General features: G+C 43.0%; 2 protein-coding genes across 18 annotated transcripts in view; one reads left to right on the top strand and one right to left on the bottom strand.

The window, feature by feature from the left end:
- The window catches only part of LRRC61 (leucine rich repeat containing 61), a 28,658-nt gene extending 17,838 nt beyond the window's left edge, over positions 1-10,820 (bottom strand). The window contains exon 1 of the mRNA NM_001363434.1: positions 10,419-10,820. The gene's annotated coding sequence lies outside the window, so the exon portion shown is untranslated. The remainder of the gene's footprint in view (positions 1-10,418) is intronic.
- Positions 1-20,650, top strand: part of ACTR3C (actin related protein 3C) — a 442,186-nt gene that overhangs the window by 3,227 nt on the left and 418,309 nt on the right. Inside the window, exon 1 of one of the 17 annotated variants that reach the window (NM_001164459.2) lies at positions 17,256-17,477. The exons of the other annotated variants lie outside the window; for them this stretch is intronic. The gene's annotated coding sequence lies outside the window, so the exon portion shown is untranslated. Of the gene's footprint in view, positions 1-17,255; positions 17,478-20,650 lie in introns of those variants that run through there. 17 annotated transcript variants of the gene reach the window in all.

Raw genomic sequence — 20,650 nt, 5'->3', positions numbered from 1 at the left:
TATCCTACACAAACAAGCATTACATTTGAGGTAGGGCGTTCTTCCTCTTGCTTCCTGAGGATACCCTACTCTAATAGATTAGTTTCTAATAAACCATTTAAACTTTACTGTACTTTGCGACTCACCCTAAATTCTTTCCTGTGCAAGATCCAAGAACCTGCCCTTGGGGTCTGGGGTGAAACCCCTTTTCTGGTAAGAGTACTGTTACATGGGATCCACACTATGGGCTCAGAGTTGGTCCCTTTCCAGCGTTAATCCAGAAACACTCTAAAACAAGGAGTTTCTTACTCAAAAGAGGGCAAAAGACCAGTCAGGGATGGATTGGCAGAGGAAGAACGGAAGGAAATGCTGATCTTCCTGTAGGTACAAAACTTGTCACTGCAGCCAAGCCAAGTTTCAGGAGGGTTGACCTAAAATCATCTCGTTTTGCTAGGTGTTTTACAAAGGATAAATAGGACTGGCTCCTGCCCCTAGAGCTTCCAGATACAGCATCCCTGTTTGCCCTGTTTGCAGGGGTGACAGAAAGTGGGAAGTAGCTACATTAGCTGCTAACTCTGTCTCGGGTCAGGGGAGAGGTTGGTAGGGTTAGCCCCAACAGTGTTTTAAAATGCAGAGTAATTGTCAAGACTGGAGTCTGGGCAAACAAACAATAAATAAATAAATACAAAGTAATTGGATGGACAAAGTGCTTTGCCTCCATCTTCCCAAAGTCAAAGGCACCTGAATTTGCCATCCTGCCCTAACTCTTCCTGGACCATTTCATAGCCTTGTGGAATGTCAGAGCTAGACAGACCCTTAAGAAGTTTGTTCTGGGCCAGGCGAGGTGGCTCATGCCTATAATCCCAGCACTTTGGGAGGCCGAGGCAGGCAAATCACCTGAGGTCAGGAGTTCAAGACCAGCCTGAGAAACATGGAGAAACCCCGTTTCTACTAAAAATACAAAATTAGCTAGGCATGGTGGTGCATGCCTGTAATCCCAGCTATTCGGGAGGCCAAGGCAGGAGAATCGCTTGAACCTGAGAGGCGGAGCTTGTGGTGAGCCAAGCTCACGCCATTGGACTCCATCCTGCCTAGGTAACAGAGTGAGACTCTGTCTCAAAAAAAAAAAAAAAAGAAGAAGCAATTTTACAAATGCTGTGCAGTGAATAAATTTCAGAGTCACTCGACTTGGAACCGGGGATTTTCCCAGTAGAGTGTACACTTTAACTCTTAAATTGCCTAAATTGACAAGACTTGCTCAGTAATAGACTGGGTAAAGATTAAATCCAAATTTTTGTCTACAGCCCAGGTATCTTCCTACTTCAGCAGTGTTTTGGGATGTAGAAGAACCTGGGAAACTTGTTTGAAAATGCAGAATACAGGGCCCACACCCATTATGTGGGTCTGGAAGAAGCCCAGAAAATGACTTTTAAAATAAACCCCTAAGGGAGTGAAATGCATGAGAATCACATGGTTTATGTAAGCTTTTGAGAAACACTGATCTAAAGCAAATTTTTGGGCTCACGGGCCCCCAGAAGAATCTTGAAAAACTCTGTATGTTCTTTGTTTTGTTGTTGTTGTTGCCATTGTTGTTGAGATGGAGTCTCACTCTGTCACCCAGGCTGGAGCGCAGTGGTGCGATCTCGGCTCTTCGGGTTCAAGCGATTCTTCTGCCTCAGCCTCCCGAGTAACTGGAACTACAGCTCTGCACCACCACGCCTGGCTAATTTTTGTATTTTTAGTACAGATGGGATTTCACCATATTGGCCAGGCTGGTCTTGAACTCCTGATCTCGTGATCCGCCCACCTTGGCCTCCCAAAGTGCTGGGATTACAGGCGTGAGCCACCGCAACTGGCAACTCTGTATACTTTAAAGTTGGCATCTTTATTAGTTTTCCAGGACTGCAGTAAGAAAATACCACAAACAGGGTAGCCTAAAACAACAGAAATGTATTGTCTCACGGTTCTGGAGGGTAGAAGTCTGAAATCAAGGTGTTGTACTCTCTCTGAAAGCTCTAGGAAAGACTCTGTTCCATGTCTTTGTCTTAGCTTGTGGTGCTCCCAGAAATCCCTCGTGTCTTTTGGCAGAGATCAGACCACTCCATAATGATCTCTGAGCACAGACAAAACAAGAACATTATCCAAACCGCAGGAAACCTCCCCATCCTGGCTGATACAAATGACTAATGCTTTTCACCGTCATAGCTTTAGCCTCACTCTATTCTTCTCGTCTTCTCCATAAGAATTATCTAAAATATACACAATTATAGAATTGCCCCTACTTCCCGACATCATCCCATTGAGAGGAAATCCCCATTTTCTTGCAACCTCCCCCAAATCTACTAAAACAAGCCCTGTCCTATAAAGAGTCCTTTTTAACACCCTCTTGTGAGACATCCCATAGTTCCTTTTGGTTTACTTTCCTCCTCCTTGCAAGGAGCCGATAAACCCAACCCCATTCAACTGCAGATGTGTTCTTGGTGGTCATAGATTTAAAGAGAAAAGTCATAATCCATTTCCTCAGCTACTGGAATGGATTCAACAAAATTCAATATCCATCTGGATAATAACTAGATTGTAGTGAAATAGAAATAGATGCCTATTTTCTTAGCATGATCAGATATATCCACCTCAACCTCAAAGATAGTATAATGCTTAAATGGAAAACATGAAATGTATTCCTGTTGAATTCAAGAATAAGATAATCACATATACTATTACCATCATCATTTAACGTTGTTCTGGTGGTTTAGTCAACACCACTAGTTAAGAGAGAGAAATTAGAGGCTTATTAACTGGAAAATAGGTAAAATTATCATCATTTCAAGTGACTTGATTGCATAAGTGAGAAACACAAAATAATTAACTGACAAAATTTACTACAGCTAATAAAATAATTCAGTAAGGTGTGTGGGTTTAATATTAATAAATGGGAATCAAAAGCCGCCATCTATGCAAACAACCACCAGTTAGAAAATACAAAGGAAGGCTGGGCGCAGTGGCCTACACCTGTAATCCCAGCACTTTGGGAGGCCACCAAGGCAGGCAGGTCACTTGAGTCCATAAGTTCGAGACCAGCCTGGCCAACATGGAGAAACCCTGTCTCTACTAAAAATACAAAAAATTAGCCGGGCATGCTGCACGCCTGTAATCCCAGCTACTTGGGAGGCTGAGACATGAGAATCACTTGAGCCCAGAAGGCAGAGGTTGCAGTGAGCCGAGATCACGCCATTGCACAACAGAAGGAAACTCAATAAATAAATAAATGAAGGAAAGAAGGAAGGAAGGACTCCAGCTGTTTACTAACAATAAAAAAGATTAAACATCAAGGAAAATGCTTAGCAGAAAATGTACAAAATCTATGTGAAAAAAAACCAAAACTTTTAAGCATCACTAAAGACAACAAAAAGAAGACCTAAATAAATGGAAAAGCTTATCATGTTCAGGGGCAGGAGGACTAAATATCTAAAAGATATCGGTTCTCCCTAAAATAGGCTACCAGTTTAACGTAATCCCAGGAAAAATTCCAAGAGGAACTTTTAAGAACCAGATTCTTGGCCAGGCGTGGTGGCTCATGCCTGTAATCCCAGCACTTCGGAAGGCCGAAGTGGGCAGATCACGAGGTCAAGAGATAGAGACCATCCTGGCCAACATGGTGAAACCCCGTCTCTACTAAAAATACAAAAATTAGCTGAGCGTGATGGCACGCATCTGTAGTCCCAGCTGCTCAGGAGGCTGAGGCAGGAGAATCGCTTGAACCTGGGAGGCAGAGGTTGCAGTGAGCTGAGATCGCGCCACTGCACTCCCGCCTGGCAACAGTGAGACTCCGCCTCAAAAAAAAAAAAAAAAAAAAAAATAACCAGATTCTAAAGTTCAGATGGAAAAATAAACAAGAATAGCTAGAAAAATTCAGATAAAGAATAGTAGTGGCTGGGGGTTGGTAGGAACAAGCCCTGACACATATCAACATATATTTAAAGCTACTACAGTCGAAACACTATGTATGTGTGCAATGTATTGACAGCCAGATTAATGAAATGGAATAAAAAGTTTAAACAGGCCCAATGTATTGCTTAAAGAAAGTATGGTACATCCACATGATGGAATATTAGGCATTCATTTTTGTTGTTTGTTTGTTTTTTGAGACAGAGTTTCACTCTTGTTGCCCAGGCTGGAGTGCAATGGCGTGATCTCGGCTCACTGCAACCTCCACCTCCCGGGTTCAGGCAATTATCCTGCCTTAGCCTCCTGAATAGCTGGGATTACAGGCATGTGCCACGATGCCCAGCTAATTTCGTATTTTTAGTAGAGACGGGGTTTCTCCATGTTGGTCAGGCTGGTCTCGAACTCCTGACCTCAGGTGATCCACCCGCCTCGGCCTCCCGAAGTGCTGGGATTACAGGCGTGAGCCACCGCGGCCGGCCTATGCATTCGTTTTTAAATATAAGGAAACTGTGTACTGATATGGACTGACTTTTCAGGATACATCGTTAAGTGAAAAAAAAAAAAGTATAGTGTTGGGAGTGTTTGTGTCTGTGTTTTTATTAAAAAGGGGAGAATACACACATGTATGAATATACATAAGCATGTGTATGTTTACTTCTACATGCTAGAGTCTCTCTGGAAAAGACATACAAGAACTTGTAACAATGACCCAGGGAGGGGAACTGTGTTGTTGAGGGGGCAAAGAGGGTGTTTTCACTGTGAGCTCAGTTTTACCTTTTGAATTTTATTTCATAGGAATGTCCTTCCTATTCAAAAACTGTAATAAAATATGTTGAATGCTAACAACGAATTAGTATATAAAACGTACAATGTATTTTCCTTATAATTTTTTACTTCTTCCATCCTGAGCATGTTTTCTGTATTTTTTGGCTATGTGCATATCCACTTTGGAAGTGCTGTTCAATATTGGGTTGTCTTTTCCTGATTGATTTGTAGGCGTTGCTAGCATCTTCGGCTGCATATCCTCTTCCAGGTATATGGATTGTGAAGATCCTCCCCAGCTGTAGCTTGCTGTTTCCACCTTAATCATGTTTTAGCAGGACAGAAGTTTATCACGATGACGTTCAATTTTAATGAATTTCGATTTTAATGTAGTTCAGTTTGTCAGTCTTTTATAGTCATTGCTTTTTGTGTCCTTTTAGAGAAATCTTTGCCTACTTCATCACTTGTATGTATTTTTAAAATAATAATAAATATTATTTATTATACATAATATATAAAATAAATAATATAAATAAAATATAATAAATAATAAATATTTTCTTATTTAATAATAAAATAATAAAAGTAATTATTAATATTATTTATAAATATTATTTTATTATTTAATAATATTTAATAATATTATTAAAAATAATACTATTTATTATTTATTATTATGTTGAAACTGGGTCTTGCTTTGTCATCCTGGCTGGAGTGCAGTGGTGTGATCACAGTTTACTGCAGCCTCGACCTCCGGGGTTCAAGTGAGCCGCTCGCCTCCGCCTTGTGAGTAGCTGGGACTACAGGTGTGTGCCACTGTGCCTGACTAATTTTTGTTGTTGTTGTTTTTTTTTTTTTTTTGGAGAGATGGGATTTTGCCATGTTGCTCAGGCTGGTCTTGGGCTCAAGGGATCCACCCACCTCAGCCTTCCCAAGTACTGGGATTACAGGCATGAGCCACCAAGCTCAGCCTTAAACATTATTTTTAAATAATAAAATATTTTAAACATCTAGAAAAGCACAAAAATATTGCTTCAGATACCCACAAAAAACACCTCAAAGAGTAACTATATGTTTGCCACATTTGCTTCACACATCTCCCTGTCTTTTTCAGAGAAATAAATAGTGACATACACAAAGCTCCATCGCCCCCACCCTATTTTCTTTCCCTATTTCCTTCTTCTGAGCCAATCAGTACCCTGAGGTAGAGGCGGATCACTCTCTTCTATAAGCCAGTGTTCTTTGGTGCAAACAATAGACCTAACTCTACCTATTAATAGTTTAAGGAAAAATGCATTTTCTAAGGTGTATTAAATAGTTCAAGAATCCTTGGCAGGGCTAAAGGAAGAGCTTCTAGGTTAAATCCAGGAACAAGGCTGACAACTGTTCTACAAAACTGGTCACATAAAGTCACTGATCCCAGATCCCTTCGGCTCCTGCCACAGTGACGGAGCTAACACTGCTGCCACTGACCCTAGGAGACACGTATACAGCCCCAGTGCCACATGAGCAAGCTGCCATCACCCCTACCACCACAGCTTAGCATGAGTGACCTGGGGACTAGACTAGATGCAGAAGCTCACTCGCCCTGGAGGGACCATATGGGTCCAGTACTGTGCTTGCCAGAAGAGCTCCGTCCTGTGCATGGCCTCTGCCTCGAGTTGTTCATTTCTGCCACTAACACTTACCCAGGTGCATCTTCTTCACAGTCCCCAAGTCCCTTGCAAAAACTGGCTCCAAAGATTTCTGGGAAAGGTTGTTTTTAGCTTTCCAGGCTCCAGGCAGGTCTCCAGGTAGCTGCCAAGAAGGCTCAGTGAGCCCTTCCAGTGTCTGTCAAAGTACCCAGTATGTGTGTATCCATAACACACTCTCTCTCCCCCTCTCTCCCTCTTTCTAGCTAATGTAAACCAAAAATAAAATTCTAAGGCCCTCCAACCATCTGAATGCACACCTCCTCTTGGCCAGGGCATTGCAAAGTTAACGTGAAAAAAACTGGTTCAGACCATGATGGGAAGGGAGGGTTGGATATGCCTCACTGTACCCCCCTCCCTTCTTGATTTCAGGAAGAGCTAACCGGAATTAACATCCACACAGACCTTAAGTCTGATAAGAAACATTTACAATCTATTCTGTGAAGCCTGCTACCTGGAGGCTTCATCTGCATGATAAAACCTTGGTCTCCACAATCCCTTATCATCATAACCCAGACATTTCTTTCTATTGATTCCAGGTCTTTGGATAATAACTTGTCCCTTTCAACCGATTGCCAATGAGAAACTTTAAAATCTACCTATGACCTGGAACACCCCCACCCACCCCATTTCAAGTTGTCCCACCTTTCTGAACTGTCACGTGTGTCCGTAGAGAAGACCACCTAAACAGGTTTTGTGTGAGCAGTAAGGCTATTTATTCACTTGGGTGCAAGTGGGCTGAGTCTGAAAAGAGAGTCAGCGAAGGGAGGTAGGAGAGAGGCAGCTTTATAGGACTTGGGTAGGTAGTGGAAAGTTACAGTTAAAGGTGGTTATATATTGTTAGCAGAGGAGGGGGTTACGGGGTGCATGGTGGGGAGATCATAAGATTCATTGTCCAAAAGAAGAATGTCACAAGGTCAATTAATCAGTTGGGGCAGGGCCAGGACAAGTCATAATGGTGGAATGTCATAAGGTTGGTCAATCAGTTAAGGCGGGAGCTGGCTGTTTCACTTCTTTTGTGGTTTTTCAGCTGCTCCAGACTTCTTGGCTCCTGCAGGCCATCTGGACATATATGTGCAGGTCACAGGGGTTACAATGGCTGAGCTTCAGCTCAGAGGCCTGACATTCCTGTCTTTTTATTTATAAAATATAAAGTTATAAGAAAAGATGAAGAAAATATCGGTTTTTTCTGGGGATTATGGGGGTAGGGGCGATGTTTCTCAGGACTGCTTCAACTATGACCAGGGACTGCATGGACACCTTAAAGAAAATTTTATAATGAGTTAGTCTAGTAAGTTTCGGGTCTAAGGTGCATTTCTATGTAGCTAACAAGGTGCCAGTTAGCATATTTTTGAGTTTGGAATTGCCCTAATAAAATAAGTTCTCTAAAAACAGTAATCAGGCATATTAGCTTTAATGTAGGTGGCGATGAGTTTTTAGGCCAGGAAAGGAATAATGTTTTACATACCAAAGCTTTTTGTCCCCATTGTCTGTCATATGAATGGGATTCCCTGTTGTTAAGCCAATGATCTATTATATTACCCTTTTCCCATAGGTGTGAGTGGCGGTCTGAACGGAGAAGTTCAATAGTTTTGATTGCAGAGCCTACGCAGGAGAGATAATAAGTAAAATAATCTTTGTCTCCTGGATTAAGCTAAGGAAGAATGAATTTTCCATGGTCTAAGAACCTCTTGCCCTGAGTTGGAAAAGACTGGTAGAGTGGGTTTTTAGAAGAAGAGTAGGTGGGAGTCATAGAGGAGAAAGAAAAATACTGGCCTTCTGGAGTGGGGGCTGGAATATTAGCAGGTGTGGAGGCATTGGTTATTTCCTTGGCTATTTTGTTGGCGTAGGCATTTTCTTTAGCAATAAGATCCGTTGGTTTCTGGTGTCCTTTACAGTGAATGACCTCAGCCTTGGCCAGCAAGAGAGCAGCCTTAAGAAGGGCCTTTATTAGAGAGGCATTGATAATGGAAGAGCCCTGTGTGGTGAGAAAACCTCTTTCAGTCCAAATGGCAGCATGGTTATGGAGGCTGTGGAAAGCATATTTGGAGTCAGTGTAAATGTTAATGTGCATTCCTTTGGCGAGAGAGAGTGCATGGTTTAAAGCAATCAGTTCCGCTTGTTGGGAAGTAGTGGAGAGAGGAAGTGCAGCAGCCTTGATAATAGAGGTACAGGACACAACAGCATCACCAGCTTTAGCTGGCGAGATTTGGCTGGGTTTAGAGGAACTGCCATCAATAAACTAAGTGTGGTCTGGGTTTGGGATTGGAAAAATAGAAATATGAGGAAAGGGGGAAGATGCTATGTGTATTAGGGAGATACAGTCATGTGGCTCAGGACTTGTGCTGGGTGCTAAGTGAGAAGCTGGGTTGAAATCGGGCCCATGGGCAATAGTTACTGTTGGGGTTTCAATAAAGAGTGAATAGAGCTGGAGGAGTCGAGGGGCAGACAGTAAGTGTGAAAGGTGTGAGGAGGACATTAACGCTTGAAGGTTGTGAGAACTGTAGAGGGTAAGTGGAGCATAGCTTGTGATTGTGAGGGCCTCTAGACGTATTAAAGCAGCAGCTGCCACTGCAAGTAGACATGAGGGCCAGCCTAGAACTGTGAGGTCAAGTTGTTTGGATAGAAAGGCTATAGATTGTGGGCCTGGCTCCTGTGTGAGCACTCCAACAGCACAGCCTTGTATTTCAGCTGTGTGGACGGAAAAAGGTTGAGATGAGTCAAGGAGTGCCAGTGTGGGAGCTGTTTCTAGGGCCTTTTTGAGAGAATGAAAGGAAGAATGGGGAAAGGACTTAGGGTCTATGGGATCAGTTAAATCACCTTTAGTGAGCTTGTAAAGCAGTTTGGTTAGAATGACAAAGTTTGGTACCCAGAGTTGCAAGTATCCAACAATGCCTAAGAAGGAAAGGAGTTGTTGTTTGGTGGTCGGGATAGGGGCCTGGGAGATTAACTGAACACGGTCTGCAGGAAGAGCGCATGTATGTTGATGGAGGACTATGCCGAGATATGTAACACTAGGGGAAGACATTTGAGCCTTGAAGGGGATACTCGGTACCCTTTTGAGTAGAGGTGTTGAAGAAGTAGGATAGTGTTCTGCTGGGAAGATTGGTAAGAGGGGCTGCAAAGAAGAAGTTCATCAACATATTGAATAAGTTGGGAGGCAGACGGGCAGAAAGAAAGTCATGAGAGAGGGCCTGACCAAAGTAGTGTGGGCTGTTCCTGAAACCTTGGGGTAGGACAGTCCAGGTGAGTTGCTGGGACTGGTGGGTGTCAGGGTCAGTTCAGGTAAAGGTGAAAAGAGGTTGGGAGGAGGGATGCAAGGGGATGGTAAAGAAGGCATCTTTGAGGTCGATAACAGAATAATGAGTTGTGGAAGGGGGTACTGAGGAGAGGAGAGTATAGGGGTTTGACACAACAGGATGGTTGGGAAGGACAATTTGATTTATGAGGCAAAGGTCTTGAACTAGCCTGTAGGACTTGCCCGGTTTCTGGATGGGTAGGATAGGGGAGTTGTAAGGAGAATTTGTAGGCTTTAAAAGGCCATGCTGTAACAGGCAAGTGATAATAGGCTTCATCCCTTTAAATCCTGGTGTGGGATGGGATACTGGCATTGAGCAGGGTAAGGGTGATTAGGTTTTAATGGAATGGTAAGGGGTGCATGGTCGGTTGCCAGAGAACAAGTAGAGGTATCCCATACTTGTGGATTAAGGTGGGGAGACACAAAGGGAGGATGTGAAAGAGGCCTTGAATTGGGCAAAAGGACAGCAGTGAGGTGTGGCTGTAGCCCAGGAATAACCAGGGAAGCAGATAATTTGTTAAAATGTCTCAGCCTAATAAGGGAACTGGGCAGGTGGGGATAACTAAAAAAGTGCATAAAAGCATGTTGTCTAAGTTGGCACCAGAGTGGGGGAATTTTAAGAGGTTCAGAAGCTTGGCCGTCAATACCCACAACAGCTATGGGGGCAAGGGAAACAGGCCCTTGAAAAGAAGGTAATGTGGAGTGGGTAGCCTCCATATCAATTAAAAAGGGGACGGACTTACCCTCCACTGTAAAAGTTACCCGAAGCTCGGCGTCCATGATGGTCCAGGGGGCTTTCCCAGGTGATCGGGCAGCATCAGTCTTCAGCCGCAAAGCCGAGATCTGAGAAGCAGTCAGCCAGAGAGCTTTGATCCAGAGCTCCAGGGGCCCTAGAAGTGGCTGTGATATTAGTTGGACAGTCCGATTTCCAGTGGGGTCCCGCACAGGTGGGACACGGCTTAGGAAGAATCCTGGGCTGTGGGCATTTCTTGGTCTAGTGGCCAGTTTTGCGGCACTTGAATCAAGGTCCATGAGGAGGATTTAAAGGAGTAGCTGGAGGCTGTGGTTTGGTTGTTCTGAAGTTTTTGTGTGCTGAAGGCATGGCTGGGGTTTGTCTTACAGCAGGCGCAAGCAGTTGCAGCTCTGAAATGCGTTGCCGCTTGGCTGCCTCTTTATTGTTGAACACCTTGAAGGCGAGGTTGATTAATTCCTGTTGTGGGGTTTGAGGGCCAGATTCCAATTTTTGAAGCTTTTTTCTAATGTCAGGAGCTGACTGGGTGATAAAACACATATTGAGAATAAGATGGCCTTCTGGCCCTCGAGGGTCTAGGGCTGTAAAGCGTCTAAGGGTAGCCACCAAGCGGGCCAAGAACTGGGCTGGGTTTTCATCTTTACCTTGAGTGGCTTCTTTAAGCTTGTCATAACTAACAGCTTTGTATGCTGCCTTTTTTAGCCCTTCAACTAGGCAAGAGACCATGTAATCTCACCTAGCTATACCTGGGAAGCCTGTCTGGTATTCCCTTTGGGGATCATCTCGGGGAACTGCCCTGATGCCTTCTTGGAGGTCTGGCTCACGATGCAAGCAGGTGTCAGTGTGAGAATGGGCTAGGGTATAAACTCTTTCCCGCTCATCTGGGGAGACGGGAGAGGTCAGGATGACATTTAAATCACTCCAGGTTAAATTGTAGGACTGAGTCAAATATTGGAATTCTTGTATATATTTAGTGGGGTCTGATGAGAAAGAGCCCAGATGCTGACTGATTTGGAAAAGGTCTGATAGAGAAAAAGGTACATGAACCCTTACTGTGCCCTCAGCTCCAGCCACCTCTCTAAGAGGAAACTGTTGGGCAGGTGGGAGGAGAGCTAGTCATGGAATGAAACTGTAAGCCAGACTGAGTGTGAGGAGGGGAGGTGATAGAAGAATTATAAGGTGGGGGAGCAGAGGCTGAGGAGGAATTGGGACTTGATTCAGCCTGTCAAGGAGTGGCCTGGGGAGGGGGAGAGAGGTCAGAGGGGTCTGCAGAAAAGGAGGATTCAGAAGACTCTGAGGTTGGGGTAGAGACTGAAGAAGCGGACAGGAGAGAAAGAAGAAGGATTTGGGATGAGCTGCATTGGGAGCAGAGGCTAGGGAGGGAACGAAGTATAAAAAATGCCTGGACGTAAGGCACCTCAGACCATTTGCCCATTTTTCGACAAAATTTATCTAGGTCTTGTGGGATGGAGAAATCGAAAGTGCCGTTTTCTGGCCACTTGGAACCATTGTCGAGCTTGTATTGGGGCCAAGCGGAGTTGCAGAAGAAAATAAGACTCTTAGGTTTTAGGTCAGGTGAGAGTTTAAGAGGTTTTAAGTTTTTAAGAACACAGGCTAAGGCGGAAGAAGGAGGAATGGAGGGTGGAAGGTTGCCCATAGGAAAAAGGTAAGTTCCAAGAAAAGAGGGGGTAGAGACTCGAAGAGAGGGGGGTGGTACTTGCCACCCAGGGGAGGTTGTACTTGCCACCAAGGTGGAGGATCAAAGCAGGTGTCCCCGCAGTGATTAAACACTTCTGGAATGCGGGTGAATAATCAGGCAGGCGTCCCCGCAGTGATTAGACACCAAGGAAAGACTGTCTTCCCGAGTCTGTGACCAGCTCCAGAGTTTGGAGTCCACAGATAAAACGTGTCTTCTCTGTCTCTACCAGAAAGCAAAAGGAAATGAAGGGAAGGGAGAGATTGAAGGGTGACGTGGAAATTGAAAGGAGAAAGAGGTTGAGGGATAGCGACAGAGGTTAGAGAAGAGAATAAAAAGAGGCCACTTACCCAATTTAAAATTGGTGAGGTGTTTTGTTTGGGCTGGTCTGAGGACCTGAGGTTGTAAGTGGATTTTCTCATGGAGCAAAGAGCAGGAGGACAGGCGATTGATCTCTGGAGGGAGGTCCCCCGAACCAAGTCATGGCACCAAATGTCAAGCGCCTCTGTGTGAAGAGACCACCTAACAGGCTTTGTGTGAGCAATAAAGCTTTTTAATCACCTGGGTGCAGGCGGACTGAGTCTGAAAAAGGCGTCGAAGGGAGATGGGGAAGGGGTTGCTTTATAGGAGTTGGGTAGGTAATGAAAAATTACAGTAAAAGGTGGTTATTTATTGTTAGCAGAGGAGGGGGTCACAAGGTACATGGTGGGGAGATCATAAGTCTTATTGTCCAGAAGAAGAATTTCACAAGGTCGACTGATCAGTTAAGGTAGGGCAGGGACAAGTCACAATGGTGGCATGTAATGTTGGTTAATCAGTTAAGGCAGGAACTGGCTGTTTTACTTCTTTTGTGGTTTTTTGGCTGCACCAGACTTCTTGGCTCCTGCAGGCCATCTGGATGTACATGTGCAGGTCACAGAGGTTACAATGGGTGAGCTTCGGCTCAGAGGCCTGACATGAACCAAATCAATGTACATCTTACATGTATTTGATTGATATTTCCTATCTCCCTAAAATGTATAAAACTAGGCTGTGCCCCACCCACATGATCTCAGGGTCTCCTGACGACTGTGTCATGGGCCATGGTCACTCATACTTGGCTCAGAATAAATCTTTTCAAATGTTTTACAGAGTTGGACTATCCAGTGACAATAATAAGGGTTAGAAATACACATATATGAAACCATAATCTATATATCCTTTTATAACTGCTTTTTTAAAAAGCTAAGCATTATACTTTTTAGTTTTCACTGTTGGCATATGTAGTTCCAGTTCATCATTTTAATTATCTTATAGTATAATACTCCCTTGTATGAATAAACCACTGTTCGTTATCCATCTCCCTATGAAGGAACCATTAAATTGTTTTCATTTGTTTTTGCTACACAAATATCATTGTCTATGTCTCATCACACATATGTACAAGAAGTTTTCTAGGATAGACACCTAGAAGTGAAGCTGCTTGTCTTTGGGTCTGAGGTGTTCACCTTGGCGAGGTATTGCTAAATTGTTTCTCCAAACCGGGTCTCGCTGTGTTGTCCAAGCTGGCCTCAAACTCCTGGGCTTAAGTGATCCTCCCACTTTAGCCTCCCAAAGTGTTGGGATTACAGGCATGAGCCACCATACCCGGCCCACAGTTGTTTATGTGGAGCAAATGGGGCCAAGAAACTGGCTGTGTGTGAGTGGCTTTGTCTTTACAGCCAAAACAAATCACAGATTCCCACCTGTCAGATTTGGCATTTTTCCTTCTGTAGCATATCACATAAACTACCTGTTGGATAGGATTTTAGGAGCAGGCACCGAGCCCAGCTGCTTCCTTCTGTCTACTTCAGCTTCCCGCGCCAGGAGTTCTTGCTTTACTTAGAGGGACATCTAATCTTAGGCATGTGGAGCAAATATGGACCACCACACAGCTCACAGGAATTTTTATTAAAGGGGACTCTTCTGATTTAGCTGGCATACATGAGATAGTAAAATGTAACCACTTGCCAGGATGGAATTGGAGGGGTTTGGTGTGAACATGGAAAAGGCCATTTGCTAAAAATGGGTACCTGCAATGAATGTTCAAAAACAATCAAGTTTATTATTAAAAAGATAAGAAAATATCGTATTACATGTGGTGTGCTTTGAATTCTGCAAGTCATTCTGTTGCATGTTGTGGTTGAGGAAGTGATGAGAATGGTAAATTTCCTTCAGGTATTTGTCCTTAACCGTATGTTAATGGAATAGTTAAAGGGGAGTGAACCAGGTGGAAAGATTTAAGACCAAGCCATCAAAGTGAATTGAAGACATTAAGAGAGTCTTGAGAGGCCCAAATGATGGACCCCACAGGAGCTCACAGAATTATCCTTTCTGATGGCCGTGCCCAGTCATCTGAACATGCAGAGAGAATGAGCTCCTTGCCACTGACTGTTTTCAAGGAGGTGCAGAGACTCAGCTTACACCGGTTATGTGGACTGAGCACCTGGGAACTCCACTCTTCCCCAATATTGCATTACCCAGAGCTCAGAACACACTCAGAGATGTCAAAGAGATGCAGTGCTCTTGAGTGGAAACTGAATTAGAACTTCGGAAGGGATTTGCAAACTTTTTGAATATAAATCCTGCAAGAGCAAACAAGCAGCACATGCAGACGACCAGCAATGAGAGGGCGTGGTGACTCTGAGGACCTGACTTGGTTAGGGTGACGAGAGCGGGGGAGTGTGGAGAGAGGAGGTCAGGCAGCCTTTGCACAGTGTAGACAGTGAGAGCCACGTGGCCAGTTTTGTGTTTTAGGGAGACTTTGTGGGCAGACACCTATGGCACACAGAGTCTTGAAGATGACCCCATGTGAGGTGACAGGTGCCTCCGAGGAGGGCGTAGGGTGAGAATGGTAGGAGTGGGTGGAAGGGAGTTCTGTCATTTGCGAGGTTCTTAAAATTATGTAAGGAGATATGTATAGTCAAAACCACCCATGAAAATCCTTCAGGAAGGGCCCGTTTATGCAGCTCTGAGTCAGTGGGAGAAAATGGATTTTCCCTCAGTGTGGAGTAACTTTCTTCTGCACCAGCTGGGGTGGTTGACTTACATTTAGGAGTACAGTATGGTGTGTGGAAGCACACATTGTTTGTTAGGTTGCCCTCAGTCCAGCACTTTGCTCCCAGTCCCAGTATGTTGAAGCTGAGACCGCCTGAGAACAATCAAACTCCCAGAGCCAGTACTCATTAAGGAGCCCGGGCAGACATTGTATTGAGCAATCAGGCTTCCAGAGCCAGTACTCGTTAAGGAGCCCGGGCAGACATTGTATCACTCATGGAGTTATTTCGCCTGCTCTCATATTTGGCCTCATTGTTCTGGCTTGTACCCTCACTAGCTTTTGTATGCTGTTGTGTTTTTGGAGCATGTACAGTTGGTTGGGGTAAGTTACATATAGTTAGCAGAGATATACAGGAGGTAGAATTGATGGGTCTTAGTGATGAGAATTGGTAGCAGTTAAGAGAGAAATCTAGGATGACTCAGATTTTGAGATGGGGCAGTGCATGGATGATAATGTGATTGGTTAAGATGGGAAACATGAGAAGAAACTCACTTGAGGGAGGGAGGGAGGAGGAAGAAGGAGAGTTTGGTTTTGTACATGCTGAGGTCGAAGGGTCTGACTGGGCTACACAGGTAAAGAAGCCGAGGAGCAGCCAGCTCCAAGCAGCAGGTGTTGATGTAGGAGTCAGTAGCATTCACGTGTTGATAGTTGATGGAAAATTAACTCTGATTACTAAAAATAAAACGTACCATCCTTGGTATTTTAGAGATGAACCTACGAATACATGATTATCTTGAAATCTCTAGGTAAAGTTAGTGCTCTGTGAAATCATTTTCCTCATGAACCTGGTGAAATAAAAAAATGCTAGCCATAGCAGTGCCCTACATCTGAATCACAATTGCGTTATGTCCTAGTTTCCTTCCTGAATTCTTGAGAATGGTTAGACCTGCCTTGTGCACTTCACTAACCAGTGTAGACCTAGCCAGTGTAGACCTAGCCAGTGTAGAGGTCAGCTTTCTTGGATTTGCTAAGTCACCTCCTGCACGTACTTTCCAGCTTCCAGTATATTGTCGCCTCCTCTCCTATTCTCGCTTCCTTGAGGATTTGTATTTTTAAAAATGTTTCTTTACTGTAGTTTTAGAGGGGCATGGAGGTGGAGTAATATTAGATACATGTGTTCAATTTTCTATCTTTATCCAGAAATATGGGTTGGTTTTATGATAGTCATTATTCACTTTTAAATCAATACCAGGTGATAATTTTACCATTGTTATGAATAAAAATGTTTGTGTAGCTTGCATTCATTGATGCTTTGATCATATGCTTCTATATTTAAAAAACCAGATTATTCTCTTTCTCTTCTTCTCACTGCTGCACTTGACTAGTCTTAAAGAGAGAAAAAACCCCAGAATAACTGGACATCTCCAATTTAGATCTTGTTATAAATAATAGTTTGAGAATAATACATTTGTCTCCTAAAGGAATAATTATAACATCAATAGTGGTGGATAGAGATGAAATGGGAGGTTGAGGAAGACGGAGGGTTTGTGATTGTGGTCCTCAGAACCCATAAGGATGTGGCCTGAATAACATCGATTTTGATTCAAGAACCAGGAGAACATCATTATATTGTAAATGTTCCTTTAAATGGAAATACATAGATTTTAATTCTTCAAAGACAGTGAAATGTTTTTGGCAGCAAGTAATAGAAGTATAAAAGCAGTAGTTTAAAAAAGTTAAGGCTTTATTTTTCTTAAATAAATTTGCAGTAGAGTCCAGTGCTGATATGGCAGCTCTCTGGTGTGGCTAACAATCTCTCTACTCTAGTGTCTTGAATATATGGCTTTCATTCTAAGGATGCCTCATGATCACAAGTTGATTACTGCACCTCCAGCTATCACCTCTGTGTTCCAGGAAGGAGGAGGGTGTTAAGGGCAGGAGGCAAGTCTACGACTTGAGTCTACCTCAGCTTTGTAAGGAGCTTTCCTGGCAACCATTCTCCAGCTTTTGTGTCTTACTGGCCTGAACTTACTTAGTCATCCCTGTCCACAAGGAAGTCTGGGAAATGCTTTTTTCTGGGCCTGTTGCCATTTCCCATCATAGATCAGTGGTCTGTCAGTCACAAACTTGCAGTGTTGGTAAGAGCAACTCAATGCCTGTCATAGTGGTGTCACTCAAAGGCATGAAGACAGTAGCAAGGGAGAGATTCAGCTGCTTTCACAACTCTGGCTGGATTTTACCTATGTGGAGAGTGTCACCCATGTTAGGGAGCCTCTGGCCAGGAGGAAGCTGTGGCAAGATGTGCTGCGTCTCCTGCTTGGCATTGCCATCTTGCTGCCGTAAGTCTGTCTGTGGATAAAATACATTAGGAAATTGGGAAGTTAGATGAGGAGTTTGTGTGATCTTGCCCCACAGCCATAACTCGGAGTTTAACACTTCACATAGAGATCATTTCCCCCTTCACTACAGTAGAATTGTAAGTGTGGTATAGAAAATTTGGAAGATATCTGTGGGATTTTTATAGTCTTATCACATTAACATAGGTACTGTTGACATTTAGTATATTTTCATTTAATCTTTTTACCCATTTTTAAAATGATTTTACACCCAATATTATACTCCTCATTTCCTTACAGTTTTCATAACCCTTATTTTAACAGCTATATGATAATCTGTCTAGTAGGTATTTCCTGCTTAGCAGTTCCACTATTTTTAGTCATTTTCTTGGTTTTATAAGAAATAATGTAATCTTTGTGCATACAGTTTTTCCTGTATTTCGAGTCTTTTTTACTTAAAAAGAACTAGCAGTGTTTGATTATGGAGTTCAGCAGTGTTAGTAATTTTATTAGTCTCTGCACAGTGTGCCATTTCAGACTGCCGTCAGCACCGCGCAAGAGGCTTGCTTTCTTTGTACTCTTGTCAGCATTAATATTATTTTTGATCATTTAATGGATTAAAATTTGCCATATGCTTTACATTTGCATTTTTGATAACTTTGACCTTATACGTTTTTCCACATTAGTTAGTTGTATTTCCTCTTTTGCGAGCTGTCTGTTCATGCCCTGTGCTCTTTTACGTATCGTTGTTTTATTGCTTTTCTTGTTGCTGTGATTTCTATGAACTTTGTTTTTACTTAACTTTTTTTTATTCTAAAATACACATAACAGAATTTATCATTTGAACCATTTTTGAATGTACAGCTTGGTGGCATTAGGCACATTCACAAACCATTGCCACCGTCTGTCTCCAGAAGCCTTTTCATCTTCCCAAACTAAAACTCTGTCCCCATTGAACACGAATTCTCTTTACTCCTTTACCTGCCCCTGGAATGCCCATTTTACTTTCTGTCTCTATACATTTGATGACTCTAGGGCCCTCATATAAATGGAATCATATAGTATTTGTCCTTTTGTGACCAGCTTACTTCACTTAGCGTCTTCATGCTTCATCCATGTTGAAGCATGTGCCAGGATTCCTTTCTTTTTAAGGCTGAATAATATTCCATTGTACATAGATACCACATTCTGCTTATTCTCTGGAAGCTTTCATATAATTAAGATAGAAAGCTTCTTTTGTTGTTATATTTGCAGCAGGTTAGTTTTACTCAGTTAATTTTTTGCCTTTCTCTTTTGGTTATTTCATTTGGACATCCATAACTTTAAATTTGTATGTTGGTAAAACCCATTTTCCTTTGATGTTTGTATTTAATCTTCATCCATCTGGGATTTATTTGGATCATCATTTCACACTGAACTTAGACCCAGAGAGAATGCAGGGAGCCAGGGTTAATCTGATTCTTGTTGGTGATGTCTTCCTACAGGTCTGTTTTTGCTTCAGGTTAAATAGGCATCTCTTTGCTGGGAGGCAAGAAACCTTCCCCAGCTGTACTCAGAAATCTTCATACCTTCTTAACCTTTCTCTCCTGATACTTCCCCACCTCTACTCAGTTTAAATATTTTGTTTATTTCACTTATAATTATGCTTGGGTTCCTATTCAAGATGACAAACATAGGTTTCTTCAGTTAATATGTTATTTCTTCTGGAATGAGATACAATATTGGCTATTATGGCTGTTTATTGAGTACTTCTATGTGCCCAGCCCCATTCTAAGTGTTTATAAGTATTAACTCATTTTTAATGCCACCAACAACCCTCTGAGATAGGTGATGTTATTAGGCCCGCTTTTCAGATCGATAGGAGGTAGCTTAAGAGAGAGATTGTACACACTACTATTGGAATCTGCATCTCTTACTCACGTGCTTTAAATGAAGGAAATCTAAAGTAGTAATCGCTAACATTTATACTTCTAACTGTGTTCTGGGCACTTCACTGCTATTAGCAGATTTAATCTCCTCAGCCCGAGTAGGCGCATTGAAATAAATACCATGTTGTGGAGTGCTTTTTAGGTTCCCTATTTGCAGCCTGTGTTTGAGTATGACTTCATTATTCTCCCTTCCACATTTTGAGATGGCTTCCTCTCTCCCATCCAGGAATTGATGGATTCTAATTACAGTGACTAAAACTTACTTGGGGCAGTGTGTTTGAACTTTTCACCAGCTGCTGTGCCAGAGTTTAAAGTGCCAGGCTAGTTGGTAGGTAGATTTGCTTGCTTGTTGTTTGAAGAAGTGATGCACACACAGTGCAGAACTGAAAAGGTGCTGGAAGATTTCTAGAGAGCGTGCCCCCCTCGCCTCTTTCCTGCCTAGAGGAAGCCGCCCTTACCCGTTCTTAGCCAGCTGATTGTTCATGTTCCAGGGGTGATTGTGTGTAGGCATATGGGTTAGCACACACTTGTTTTTGTTCTTTCTTTTTTTGTTGTTGTTTTTTTTGAGATGGAGTCTTGCTCTGTAGCCCAGGCTGGAGTGCAGTGGCACGATCTCAGCTCACCGCAACCTCCGCCTCCCGGGTTCAAGCAATTCCCCTGCCTCAAGCCTCCTGAGTAGCTAGGACTACAGGTATGTGCCACCAAGCCTGGCTAATTTTTGTATTTTTAGTAGAGACGGGGTTTCACTATGTTGGTCAGGCTGGTCTCAAACTCCTGAGCTCATGATCCGCCCACCTCAGCCTCCTAAAGTGTTGGCATTATAGGTGTGAGCCATTGCGCCCGGCTAGCACACAGTTTTATTTTACACAAATGGTAACACAATATGCATACTGTTGCACACCTTGGATTTTTGAATTAAACTTTTTTTTTTGGTTTAAATTGTAAAAAAAAACCCTAATACTATTTGTGCCCTATTAGCCATTTTTAACTGTACAATTCTGTAATGTTAACTATATTCACACTGTTGTGTAAGAGATTCTAGAACTTTTCCATCTTGCAAAACTGAAACTCCGTACTCATTGAACGAGTCCCCATTATTTCCCCTCTCCCCCGACCTTGTTTTTTGTTTTTGAGATGGAGTTAACTCTTGTTGCCCAGGCTGGAGTACAGTGGCACCACCTCAGCTCACTGCAACCTCTGCCTCCCGGGTTTAAGCAATTCTGCTGCCTCAGCCACCCGACTGGCTGG

Source organism: Homo sapiens, chromosome 7 (genome assembly GCF_000001405.40).
Source record: "Homo sapiens chromosome 7, GRCh38.p14 Primary Assembly".
In the NCBI taxonomy this organism is placed as follows: Eukaryota; Metazoa; Chordata; class Mammalia; order Primates; family Hominidae; genus Homo; species Homo sapiens.
The sequence above is the reverse complement of the archived record's forward strand: the minus strand, read 5'-3'. Positions and strand labels throughout refer to the sequence as shown.